The sequence below is a fragment of the Homo sapiens genome, chromosome X (genome assembly GCF_000001405.40).
Source record: "Homo sapiens chromosome X, GRCh38.p14 Primary Assembly".
In the NCBI taxonomy this organism is placed as follows: Eukaryota; Metazoa; Chordata; class Mammalia; order Primates; family Hominidae; genus Homo; species Homo sapiens.
In genome coordinates, this window is record NC_000023.11 from 30,226,613 (window position 1) to 30,240,180 (window position 13,568).

At 45.8% G+C, this 13,568-nt stretch overlaps 1 protein-coding gene across 3 annotated transcripts, besides 1 other annotated feature; it reads left to right on the forward strand.

Annotated features, from left to right (window-relative positions):
* Window positions 1,763-2,372: an enhancer, noted in NCBI's record as "NANOG hESC enhancer chrX:30246492-30247101 (GRCh37/hg19 assembly coordinates)". NCBI's record gives its function as "activates a minimal SCP1, AML or CMV promoter by ChIP-STARR-seq in primed H9 embryonic stem cells {active_cell/tissue: H9 hESC(primed)}" and the evidence as "EXISTENCE:reporter gene assay evidence [ECO:0000049][PMID:30033119]".
* MAGEB3 (MAGE family member B3) lies at window positions 4,045-10,883 on the forward strand. Of its 3 annotated transcripts, NM_002365.5 has the most exons (5): window positions 4,045-4,205; window positions 4,905-5,006; window positions 6,215-6,304; window positions 6,650-6,751; window positions 9,252-10,883. In NM_002365.5, exon 5 carries the CDS (start codon window positions 9,313-9,315, stop codon window positions 10,351-10,353), a length of 1,041 nt encoding a protein of 346 aa, NP_002356.2. In that variant the 5' UTR covers window positions 4,045-4,205; window positions 4,905-5,006; window positions 6,215-6,304; window positions 6,650-6,751; window positions 9,252-9,312; the 3' UTR covers window positions 10,354-10,883. The 3 variants fall into 3 exon arrangements, with proteins under 3 accessions (NP_002356.2, NP_001373794.1, XP_011543815.1); XM_011545513.3 differs by lacking the exons at window positions 4,045-4,205; window positions 4,905-5,006 and adding an exon at window positions 5,455-5,530; NM_001386865.1 differs by lacking the exons at window positions 6,215-6,304; window positions 6,650-6,751.

Here is a 13,568-nt window from a genome sequence, read left to right on the forward strand (position 1 = left end):
TATAATAGTGTACAGTAATGTCCCAGGCCCTCACATTCACTCACTATTCAATCACTGGCTCACCCAAAGCAACTTCCAGTTCTGCAAGCTACATTAATGGTAAATACTCCACACAGGTGTATGATTTTTAACAATCTTTTGTACCATATTTTTTACTGTACCTTTTCTGTGTTTAGGTACACAAATACTTAGCACCGTGTTACATTTGCCTATAGTTTTCAGTGCAGTCACATGCTGCACAGGTTTGTGGCCTAGGAGCAATAGGCTACACCAAATAGCCTACGTGTGTAGTAGGCTATATACCACCTAGGTTTATGTAAGTATACTCTATTATATTTGCACAACAATGAAATTGCCTAACAACGCGTTTCTCAGAAAGTATCTTCATTGTTAAGCAATGCATTACAGTACATGGTGAAATGCTTACTACAGGTAAGCAATTTAATATATCCATTATATCATATAGTTACCTTGTTTTGTGGTAAGAGCAGCTAAAATCTACTCTTAGAAAATTTGCAGTATGCAATACAATATTACTAACTGTAGTCCTCATACTGTACTTTAGATCTCTAGATTTATTCGTCTTATAAAACTGCAACTTTGTACTGTTTGACATGCATCTCTGCATCCCCTCCCCACCCTGCCTCTGGTAACTACTGTTTTATTCTCTTTTTCTATGTATTTAACATTTTTTTCTTTTTCGATTTTACATATAAGGGATATTAATAGCATGCAGCATTTTTCTTTCTGTGTCTGGTTTATTTCATTCAGCATAACGTCCCCCAAGTTCATCTGTGTTGTTGCAATGGCAGAATCTCTTTCTTTTTCAAGGCTAAATAACATTTTTTTAAATTTTATCTTAGTTTCAGGGGTACATGTGCAGGTTGTTATATAGGCAATTGCATGTCATGGGGGTCTGGCGTACAGATTATTTCATCACCCAGGTAATAAGCATAGTACACAATAGGCAGTTTTTCCATCCTCACCCTACTCCCACCTTCCGCCCTTAAGTAGGCCCCAGTGTCTGTTGTTCCCTTCTTTGTGTCCATGTGTACTCAATGTTTAACTCCCACAAAGAACATGCAGTATTTGGTTTTCTGTTTCATTGTACATATATACCACAATTCCTTTATCCATTCATCCATTGGTAAACAATTTTGTTGTTGCCGCATCTTGGTCATTGAGAATAATACTGCAGTGAACATGGGGGCACAAATATCTACAGGAGGTGATGATTTCGTTTCCTTATGCCCAGACAAGGGATTGCTGGGTCATATGGTAGTCCATTTTCAATTTTTTGAGAAAGCTCATACTGTATTCTAGAATGGCTGTACCAATTTGCATTTCCACCAATAGTGTAGAAGCGTTCCATTTTCTCTACACTCTTGCCAACATTCATCTCCAGTGGGTTTTTGTTTGGTTGTTTTTGTTTTATTTTTTTATAATAGCCTTCCTAACTTGTGTGAGGTGATATCTCGCTGTGGTTTTGATTTGCATTTCCCTGATGGTTAGTGATGTTGAGCACATCTTTGTATAGCTATTGGACATTTTTATGTCTTCTTTGAGAAATGTCATACAAGTAGTGAATTTTCTTGAGTACTGATTATGTTGGAAATGTGATTGAATACTGTATTAAAAATTGTTGAGATCAAAAAATTTTTTTAAAAAAGTTTGTCTATTCTTGGTTTGCCTAATTCCTTTTAGTCTTTCTTCTTATAAAATTAAGAGTTACATATCTGGATTTGCTTAGATTATTAAAGAATGTAGGAGAGATTAAATCCTAATTTATTGGACTTCATACTCACTCTCTTGTTTATTCCTTAATCATTAATTGAGCATCAGCTCTTTGGAAGTCTTCATGTTAGTACTGGGAATGTTTTCCCCAAAACAAATCAATTTCTTGCCCATTTAATTTTAGAGTCTGGGAGCAGCTGTCATAAAAAAAAAAAAGATGATGAGGTGCTCTCTAAAACTTAAAGAACAAGTACAAAGGAGGAATGAGAAAAAGAGGAGGTTTGAGATGAGAGCAATCAAGTGTAAATGCCCTGAGGCAAGGCAGTTTGGAGTGTTAGGAAACCTCAAGTCCCCCATTGGGAGGTAATTTTAAGGGAAACTACATGGTGGGCTGGATGAGACTGTGGGAGGGGCCAGGCCCTCAGATGGTGCCTCTCAGAGGTGTGAGACAAAGCCTGGAATGGGAAGTAGTTCTTAACAGTTATTTTGTGCTCACGGATAAACCAGAGAGAATCTGCACCTGGGGCAGGAATGGAATGTGCCCTGTGCTCTTGTCCCAGTGCAGCAGAACATAGTCACAGTGCACAAACTAGGTGCTTTATACAGTTGGTGCATTTCAGTGTTGAGAGACTAAGCCCGGAATGGGAAACTATCCCTAACATTTACTTTCCTGTTGTGGGAAAACCAGAGAGAACCCCTACCTAGGACAAAAGTGAAAAGTGTTCTATGTCCCTATCCTAGCACAGTCTAATACAGTGCACAACCTAGGTGTTCTATGTACATCATCTCTAGTGAGTTTCTGAGAAATAAGGGAGATGACAGCTTCAGGGGAGGTAAGATGCCCAGAAGCCACCGTGCTGGCACTCTTTGTCCTGGGTTGGAGAATCAAGAGCCCGCTCTATTAAAAGGACTTTCAACAGGGGTGCAGCCAGGCATGGTGGTTCATGCCTGTAATCCCAGCACTTTGGGAGGCGAGGCAGGTGGATCTCTTGAGATCAGGAGTTCAAGATTAGTCTGGCCAACGTGGTGAAACCCCGTCTCTACCAAAAATACAAAAATTAGTTGGGCGTGGTGGTGGACATCTGTAATCCCAGCTACTAGGGAGGCTGAGGCACGAGAATCACTTGAGCCCTGAGGCACAGGTTGCAATGAGCCGAGATAGTGCCTCTGCACTCCAGCCTGGGTGACAGAGTGAGACTCCATCTCAAAAAAAAAAAATAAATAAATAATAAAAATCAAAACAGGAGTGGTTAACATAGAAGGGTGCCTAGGAGTTAGAAAAAAATATTGGTCATTGACAAAAATTTTGAGACTTGAGTTGTATCCAATTGGAGAAGGCTCTTCCACAAACACTTTATAAATTATATAATTTTCCTTGCTAAGCAGCATTTTGTTTGATTATAATTTCTTTGTTTGGAGTTTGGTAATATGCTCAAGTTCACAGGGTGAGTAAGTGACAGGGCTGGGACTAGACTCCTGTTGTGAATTCTTCTAGAGCCCACACTCTTCATTCTGTTCCTCTCTGCCTGGAGCAGACTTTGTGTTCTTTAATTCACTTTTCTTCTCAATACTTCCAAATATATCTCAGGGGTTAAAAAGAAGGATTCTGTGCCCAAAGAATTGGATTGGAATACATAGCCAAAGCAATAAAGAATATCAAAATAAATGAAAGCTACAAATAAAGAGGAGAAAGAGATATTATTCAGTGACAATATGATCATCTACATATGCACAGTCAGATAACCTCAAAATCAGGGACCACACAATCATCTTGAACAGCTCCTTCCCCTTAAGAAGTAAATCAATTAAAACAGAAGTCACATAAGAGGCTAGTGCTGGCTATTGAAAAGAGTAAATCAGCATCATTTTTCTCTGACAACCCACCAGCTACCTTGGACTCCCTGCTTTGTGTTATAATTTCTTTACCTCACATTAGCCCTGGGGCACAGACTTGCAAGGTTTGCAGTAGGAACGCTGCCCAAGAGTTTGCAGGGATGTGGCATTTCCCAGGAAGCCTTTATTCAGAGAGGCAAGAGAAAATAAGGAGGACACCCATAAATAAATACTGGAAAGACAACCACACCAAAAGATAACGGGGCAATCTACCCAAACCTCTTCTCAGCCTAGAATGCCCCAGGCAGTGCAGTCAGACTGAGCATCCTCTCTTTTACCCTTCAGAGTTCTCAGTGAAGTGAGAGTTTTGACCTAAGGTGACCTCAGTTAACTAGAGGGAGGATCCAGGGTCTGGCAGATATCAGGGAGGACCTTGAATGAAGAACAGGAGGAGCCAGAACAGTGATGTCCCATAGAAACCCGACTCCGCTGTCTGCCCTCACAGGACCCAAACATCCCTGGCCTAATGTGGCTCATCAAAACTTCAGCCTAGATCTCGGAGGACCTTGATCTGAGCAGGATTCATGGCATGGAATGTGGAGTCCCAGGACTGGCCAGCAGCGAAGTGAGGTTCTTGAGTGAGTAAAAAAGGGAAAACTAAACCCACAAATAAGGGGACTTCTCGGAGCCCAATCCATATTTTTAACCCTGGAAAGCCCTAGGCAGAGCTATAAAACTGGCTTGCCTCTCATTTCAGCCTGGCGGATCTCAGGGAGGGGAAGGCTTTGTCTAACAGGGCAGCCTCAGTTCTTCAGAGGTCTCTTGGCCCTAACTAGAGTCAAGATGAAGACCAAGCCGGTGCGGCATCTCAGGCCTGTAATCCCAGCACACTGGGAGGCCGAGGCGAGTGAACTGTTTGGGCCCCCCCAGGAGTTCGAAACCAGCCGGGACAACATGGCGAAAACCTGTCTCTACAAAAAAAAAAAAAATGGCGGGGCAGCAGTGGAGCACCCCTGTAGTCCCAGCTACCCAGGAGGCTGAGGTGGGAGGATCGCTTAAGCCCTAGGGGTCAAGGCTGCAGTGAGCCAAGGTCACGCCACTGCGCTCCAGCCTGGGTGACAGAGAGAAACACTGTCTCAAATTAGCCGGGCGTGGTGCGGCGCACGTGTAGTCCCAGCTATTCGGGAGGCGGAGGCAGGAGAATCGCTTGAACCCGGGAGGCAGAGGTTGCAGTGAGCCAAGATAGCGCCACTGCACTCCCGCCTGGGTGACAGAGCGAGACTCCATCTCAAAATAAATAAATAAATAAATATAAACTTTTTTTTTTTAATTTTAAGGCAGGGCTCTGGCTCACGCTTGTAATCCCAACATTTTGGGAGGACGAAGCCAGCCTCATCGCTTAAGCACAGGAGTTCGAGGACTGGGAGGTGGAGGTTGTGGTAAGTCAAGATTGCGCGGCTACACTCCAGCCTGGAAGACAGAGAGAGCCCCTGTCACAAAAAAAAAAAAAAAAAAAAAAAAAAGAAAGAAAGAAAGAAAGAAATATGAGGCCCACCGGTGCTAACCAGGGAACCTCTCTCCAAAAGAAGGGCCCACCAAAAGCCCTAACCCTGTTTCAGGTCTTTGAAGCCCCAGGACATGGTCCGATAACATGCCTAGACTTCCCCTCTAGGGACTATGGGAGGGGAGGATTTTGGAGGTTGGCGGACTTCGCTCAGTAGAGGTGTTACTCTGCTCCGCTTAGTATCAAGGTGAGAACCCTGAATAAGGACCTAGGGACCACTGACTCCAGAACAGTGGGGTCCCAGCGTGTCACCCGCTGCTGTCAGCCCTCGGAGACCCCGAGCGGGGTGTGGCTCAGCCTCACTTCCGCTTTGAAAGTGAGGCAGTTGGCCTGACGGGTGCAATAGCTTCAGTCAGGTTCGTGGCCTAGCGTGAGTCTTAGAACTGATCCGGAGTAAAGGTAAGAACCCTCAGCGGGGACTGAAGGGACAATCCATGTTTTTAACCCTGGAAAGCCCTAGGCGGAACTATAAAACTGGCTTGCCTCTCATTTCAGCCTGGCGGGTCTCAGGGAGGGGAAGGCTTTCTCTAACAGGGCAGCCTCAGTTCTTCAGAGGTCTCTTGGCCCTAACTAGAGTCAAGATGAAGACCAAGCCGGTACGGCGTCTCAGGCCTGTAATCCCAGCACACTGGGAGGCCGAGGCGAGTGAACTGTTTGGGCCCCCCCAGGAGTTCGAAACCAGCCGGGACAACATGGCGAAAACCTGTCTCTACAAAAAAAAAAAAAAATGGCGGGGCAGCAGTGGAGCACCCCTGTAGTCCCAGCTACCCAGGAGGCTGAGGTGGGAGGATCGCTTAAGCCCTAGGGGTCAAGGCTGCAGTGAGCCAAGGTCACGCCACTGCGCTCCAGCCTGGGTGACAGAGAGAAACACTGTCTCAAATTAGCCGGGCGTGGTGCGGCGCACGTGTAGTCCCAGCTATTCGGGAGGCGGAGGCAGGAGAATCGCTTGAACCCGGGAGGCAGAGGTTGCAGTGAGCCAAGATTGCGCCACTGCACTCCCGCCTGGGTGACAGAGAGAGACTCCATCTCAAAATAAGTAAATAAATAAATAAATATAAACTTTTTTTTATTTTTTATTTTAAGGCAGGGCTGTGGCTCACGCTTGTAATCCCAACATTTTGGGCGGAGGAAGCCAGCCTCATCGCTTAAGCACAGGAGTTCGCGGACTGGGAGGTGAGCTGCCCCTGTAGTCCCAGCTACCCAGGAGGCTGAGGTGGGAGGATCGCTTAAGCCCTAGGAGTCAAGGCTGCAGTGAGCCAAGGTCACGCCACTGCGCTCCAGCCTGGGCGACAGAGAGAGACACTGTCTCAAATTAGCCGGGCGTGGTGGGGCACAGGTGTAGTCCCAGCTATTCGGGAGGTGGAGGCAGGAGAATCCCTTGAACCCGGGAGGCAGAGGTTGCAGTGAGCCAAGATCGCGCCACTGCACTCCCGCCTGGGTGACAGAGCGAGACTCCATCTCAAAATAAATAAATAAATAAATAAATAGATATAAACTTTTTTTTTTTTTAATTTTAAGGCAGGGCTCTGGCTCACGCTTGTAATCCCAACATTTTGGGAGGACGAAGCCAGCCTCATCGCTTAAGCACAGGAGTTCGAGGACTGGGAGGTGGAGGTTGTGGTAAGTCAAGATTGCGCGGCTACACTCCAGCCTGGAAGACAGAGAGAGCCCCTGTCACAAAAAAAAAAAAAAAAAAGAAAGAAAGAAAGAAAGAAATATGAGGCCCACCGGTGCTAACCAGGGAACCTCTCTCCAAAAGAAGGGCCCACCAAAAGCCCTAACCCTGTTTCAGGTCTTTGAAGCCCCAGGACATGGTCCGATAACATGCCTAGACTTCCCCTCTAGGGACTATGGGAGGGGAGGATTTTGGAGGTTGGCGGACTTCGCTCAGTAGAGGTGTTACTCTGCTCCGCTTAGTAACAAGGTGAGAACCCTGAATAAGGACCTAGGGACCACTGACTCCAGAACAGTGGGGTCCCAGCGTGTCACCCCCTGCTGTCAGCCCTCGGAGACCCAGAGCGGGACGTGTCTCACCCTCACAACTCCCTGCCCCTTACAAAAGGGGACCCACACGTCTCACCCTTGTGGTTGACCCTGGGAGGTCCTGGTTGAGTTCTGTCTGGAAAGGCACCCAGAGGGAGGGTCTTTCACTAAGGGAGCAGCCCCAGTTATTCAGTTGGCGGGGACCTGGACCCTAACTGGAGCCAAGGTGAAGTCTCCGAGTGCTAAAGGATGGGATCTGTTCCCAGTAGGGGCGTCAACAGAAAGCAGCAGCAGCCCTACTGGTTAGCATCCTCCTGGTTAGCACCAGTGGTCCTTGTCTTTTTTATTTATTTTTATTTTTTTTCAGACAAGGTCTCACTGCTGCTAGCCAGTTTAGAAGGCTCCAGACAAGTGTAGTCATAAGCGGAGGCCCTGACTTCCCCATCCAGGGAGGGAAGTGTTCAGGGAGATGAGGGTTTTGTTTGGAGGTTGGCGAACTCAGGTCAGTAGAGGGAGAAATTTCAGGCTGTGATAAGATACCAAGGTGAAGACCCTGAATGAGAATCTAGGGACCAGCAACTCCAAAACAGTGAAGTCTCATAGAGTTCCACCCGTGTTGTCAGCCATCAGACCCCAGGAAGCTGTGAACAGATAAGGCTCTTCCTCACTTCCTTGGAAGTGCTTTGAAGGGGAGGATCTGGAGGCGAGGGGCACGGGATCTCTTCGGCAGAGGGTGAATTCCTTGGACTGTCTGGAGTCAAGGTCAGGACCCTGAATGTGCATGAAAGGGACCACCATCCCCCAACCTGTAACAAAGAGGGCCACACTAAATCCTGCCCCGGAAGTCTTCCCTGGGAATACCTTGAAAGCTGTCTGACAGATATCTACCTGGAAAGTCTCAGGGAGGGAAGGGCCTTGGTCTAAGAAAGTAGCCCCAGTTCAGCAGGTGGAAGAGAGACTTGGGTCCTAACTGGAGTCAAGGTGAGGGCCCTGAGTGCTAATGAAGCAATCTCTCTGCAATAGAGGTGTCAACACAAACAATGTCCTTGCACTCATTTTGCAACCTCCAGGCAAAGGTATTCATAGGTGAGGGGTCCCTGACTTCCCTGTCTAGGGTCTTGTTCTGAGGCTGGAGGACTTAGGTTAATGGAGGGAAGTGTCCCACATCCTACTAAGAGTCAAGGTCAGAGACCTGAGAGAAAACTAAAGGGAACACTCTCTCTAAAAAGTAGAGTCCCACAAATTGTGCCTCTTCTCTCAGCTCCAGGAAGCCTTGGAATAACGTCAGCCCCCCTTACTGCCTAGAGAGTGCCAGAAAGGTTGAACTAATTACATGCCCCAGTTCTGCAGAGGGAAGAGTGAGGAGACCCAGAGCCTTACAGGGGTCACAGTGAGGACCCTGAATGAAGACTAGTGATACAACTCCTCCCACATAAAGAAGAGACAACAAAGATTCCCCCACTCCCCACTTGCAGCGCTGATGAGGCTGGGCATGGAGGTCAGGTGTATGTGAACTCACCTTCTTTTAATGGCATTAGGTTGCTGAGAGCCTTTATCTAAAGTGAGGGGCATCAGAGCAGCAGAGGCAGCTGTCCTAGGTCCTATCTAGAGACAAGATGAGGACTATGAATGAGGTGTCAGGACTCCAATAAGCCCAGGAAAGAGTAGGACTCCACAATGCTGTTAGCACCCAGTTCCTCCTGTCAGGGGTGGTAAGGCTGAGACATTCCTTCACCTCCTCTTAGGTGGTCCCAAGGAGATGAGGACATTTGCTGGAGGTGTCAAATTTAGTGCAGCACAGGGGAGAAGACCCAGCCCTGACAGTTTTTATGATGGTCCTGAGTGTGAACTGAGAGAAACCTCCTACCCCAGAGTAAAAGGAGATCCACAAGGACTAGACATGCCACGGCTGCTCTCAGTCCCAGTATACACAGAACAGGGCTGGCAGGCTGTGGCCTAAGGCACACTTTAATTACTTTCACAGGGTTCTCAGAGGACAAACTGATCAGAACAGAAGCCCTCTGGGTTTCCAGAGCAGTGCTCTCACAGAAAACTGCAGAGGCGACCTTCTTTTAAATCCAAAGTGGTACCTCTCTGCTGAAGGCACTCATACCCTCTCTTTCTCTCTCTCCTCCAGGTGCCTGTATCACCTGCCCTTCTGCTGACACTCCTGCCTGCTGTTCCTGACTACAGCCATCATGCCTCGGGGTCAGAAGAGTACGCTCCATGCACGTGAGAAACGCCAGCAGACCCGGGGTCAGACCCAGGATCACCAGGGTGCTCAGATCACTGCAACTAACAAGAAAAAAGTATCCTTTTCATCCCCTCTTATTTTGGGGGCTACTATCCAGAAAAAGTCTGCTGGTAGGTCACGTAGTGCTCTCAAGAAGCCTCAGAGAGCACTATCCACCACTACATCTGTAGATGTTTCTTACAAAAAGTCATACAAGGGAGCCAACAGCAAAATTGAGAAAAAGCAAAGCTTCTCTCAGGGTCTATCCTCCACTGTGCAGTCTCGCACAGACCCTCTAATCATGAAGACAAATATGTTGGTGCAGTTCCTGATGGAAATGTACAAGATGAAAAAGCCCATTATGAAAGCAGATATGCTAAAAATTGTCCAAAAAAGCCATAAGAATTGCTTCCCTGAGATCCTTAAAAAAGCTTCTTTCAACATGGAGGTGGTATTTGGTGTTGATTTAAAGAAAGTTGATTCTACCAAGGACTCCTATGTCCTTGTCAGCAAAATGGATCTCCCCAACAATGGGACAGTGACTCGTGGGAGGGGATTTCCCAAGACAGGTCTCCTGCTGAATCTCCTGGGCGTGATCTTCATGAAGGGCAACTGTGCCACTGAGGAGAAGATCTGGGAATTCCTGAATAAGATGAGAATATATGATGGGAAGAAACACTTCATATTTGGGGAGCCCAGAAAGCTCATCACCCAAGATTTGGTGAAGCTTAAATACCTGGAGTACCGACAAGTGCCCAACAGTAATCCTGCACGCTATGAATTCCTGTGGGGTCCAAGAGCCCATGCTGAAACCAGCAAGATGAAGGTCCTGGAGTTTTGGGCCAAGGTCAATAAAACTGTCCCCAGTGCGTTCCAGTTCTGGTATGAAGAGGCTTTGAGAGATGAGGAAGAAAGAGTCCAAGCTGCAGCTATGCTCAATGATGGCAGTAGTGCCATGGGCAGAAAGTGTTCCAAGGCCAAGGCTAGCAGCTCTTCCCACGCCTAGTGAAGTTGAAGCAAATTTTGCATTTTGTGGTTAAAGAGGGCAGTCACTGTTCCAAGGAGTGAAGGACTGGGTGTTACTGGAGGGAACACACTGTATAATACCTTTTGTTTCTGTTCTAAATGGATAATTTGAAGTTTTATCTGTATTTTGGGGCATATTTTTCAAATGTTCCTTTTATTTAACATTGTAATCTAAGTTTAGGATTGATACTGGTCACATTTGTTGTTTAAGAGTAAAAATTTTGCTGTTTTGTAAAACAGATTGAGAAAAATTCGATCTTATTTAGTGATCTGTTGCAAGATAACTTGGAATTAGAATAAGCATTTCCTTGAAAATGTTTAAAAAAAAAAAGTCAGCAGTAAAATGTATGGCATTAAGAAATAGAGAAAGAGTGTAAGATGGTCAATATTTGGTTTCCTAAATGCTTTTACTCTGTGCTTTAAGAAAATGAAAGATAAATAACCATATATGTCTGGCTTACTTAAGAATGTAGAATTAAATCATAATAAATTAGACCTCATGCTGACACACTCATTCTCCAAGTGTTAATTGAGCATCTGCTCTTGGAAGGATCCATGCTAATACTGGGAGGGCTAAGAAAAAGAAGACCTAGCAACTGACCTTAAAATTATAAGGTCGAGAAGCAGCTATCATCTAAGGAAAATGGTGATATACACTCTAAGACCAAAAGGATACATGATAAGAAGGGAGGGAGGTGGTTCCACATGAGAACAGTCAAGTATGAATTATCTAATCAAGGCGGTGTTGGGCCTAAGGAAAGTGCAGGTCCCTCAATGGGAGTTAATCTAAGTGAGGCTCCATGGTGGGCTGGATGAGGCTGTGGGAATGGCGAGCAGGGGCCAGGCTCTTAGAAGTTGCCTCTCACGCAGTGGCGGGCGCCTGTAGTCCCAGCTACTCGGGAGGCTGAGGCAGGAGAATGGCGTGAACCTGGGAGGCAGAGCTTGCAGTGAGCCGAGATTGTGCCACTGCAGTCCGGCCTGGGCTAAAGAGCGGGATTCCGTCTCAAAAGAAAAAAAAAAAGAAGTTGCCTCTCAGAGGTGCGAGACAAAGCTTGGAATAGGAAACAGTTCTTAACAGTTACTTTGGGATCATGGATAAATCAGGGAGAATCTGGGGTAGGAATGTGTCCTGTGCTCTTGTCCCAGTACAAATAAACACAGCACACACTAGGTGTTTTGTGCACATCATCTCCAGCCAGTTTCTGAGAAATAAGGGTAATACCCTCAAGGGACGGGGGAGGCCCAGAAGCCACTGTGCTGGTACTCTTTGCCCTGGGCTGGGGGATCCAGAGCCTGTTCCATTAAAAGCGCATTCAATTAGGTTACCTCATTTGTGATTTGGCAAACTCTAGGCAAGGTCTAGATTTTGAGAGGTGGTTAAATGAATCAAAATAAAAGTGGTTTAGATGGAAGGATAGCTGAGAGAGAGGGAAGTTTTTGGTCCTTGAAACTCATTTTAGAATCTGTGTTGCATCTACTGAGGAAGTCTACCTCATACTAATATTGAATGATCTATCAAGTAATGAGGAAATATTATTTAGTTTTCCTTTCTAGGTAGCACTTTGTCTGATAGGGCTTTCTTTGTCTTAGAATATGGTATAATCTCTGACATCTCCTGCATTGAAAAATAAGTCCCAGTGTAGTAGATTGCAACGTCAGGGTACAAATTAATCATAATAAGAACTGGCACTATTATATGTCTCAATACATCTCAAGCACTTTACATACATTGTATACATTTTACCAGTCCTACAAAACAGAGCTTATCAAACCCACTTCACAGATAAAAAGCCTGAAGCCCACAGTCTATTAATATGTCCAATTTCACATGGCTGGTAAGTGACAGGACTGGGACAAGACCCCCAGTCTGAATTAGTGTAAAGCACACTCTGTTCCATGCCTCCCAACCTGAGACTGACTGTGTCCCCTTATTCACTTTTCTTCTCACTACTCCCAAACGTATATCAAGTGATGAAAAGATTCTGTACCCAATCTGCTGGACTGAAATACAGAACCAGAGCAAGGAAATTACCAAAATGGTCAAGAGGTGTGAATTAAGGAGAGAAAGATAATATTTGGTGACAATAAGATTACACATGCAAAGTCAGATAAACTCAAAAGATCATGGGGTCACATTCTGTCATTCTGGACTGTCCCCCTTTTTATAGGAAGTTAAATCTTTTCCAAGAGAAATACATAAGAGGGTAGTAAAGAGAAGAAATAGATCAATGTTTTTTTTTTTTTTTTTTTTTTCTCTGACAGTATGACTTCTATCCTCGGGCTTCTGCCTTGTGTTACAGCTTCCCTATCTTATATCACTCCTGGGACAGGGATGCATTGTCTGCAAGATTTATTATAGGGAAACTGATCAAGAATTTTTAGGGATGCGGCATTTCCCAGGAAGTCATTAACTAAGGGACAAGAGCCAAGATAAAGACCTTCATATAGGAGGACTCAGCAGAACAACATGCCAGACAGAGTTCTTAGCCTGAGCATCTCCTCACTTATTCTTCAAGGTTCTCAGGGACTTGTGAGTTCCTGCATCTCGGGTCAGTAGAGGGAGGAGTGCCATTCTCTGACACATACCAAGTTGAGGACCCTGAATGAAGAATGAGGGAAGCACTCACCCAAATAGCCTTAACAGGATGTGGCTGAACCTGATTTCTACTCCGGAGGTCTTAAGAAGGTAAAGACCATGATCTGAGGCTGGCTGACTCAGGTCCATAGAGGAAGGATTCCTAATGTGTGCCAGGAGTAAAGTGAGTACCCTGAAGAGTGCAGGAACCACCAAACCCCTATCAGTGGGGATCCCACAGAATCCTCCCTATTGTCACCTCTGAGAGATTTAGGCATGAATGTCAGAAAGAGGCACCCTCATATCCTCAGTAGTAACAGAGAAGTGAAGGTCTTGTTCTGAGGTGGGCAATCCCAGCTCAGCAAAGGGAGGAATATTAAGCCTTCCTGTGAGTGAGATTTAGGATCCTGAGTTAGGACCTGAGTAGGACAATCCACCATAAGACCTCAACCTGTCTACCACAGCTGCCACTCTTGGGAGACCATGGTCAGCTGTGGCCAGATAAGGCCACCCTCTTCCTCCTATCTGATCTCAGGGAGGTGCAGGCCTTTTAAATGGAGAGGTCTTCAGGTCAAAAAAGAGGGGAGCCCTAGGATCTGCTAGGAGCCAAATCAAGGAAA

Bases quoted from the DNA above. Each gene is read 5' to 3' on its own strand.
- MAGEB3 (NM_002365.5), top strand. From the start codon at position 9,313: ATGCCTCGGGGTCAGAAGAGTACGCTCCATGCACGTGAGAAACGCCAG.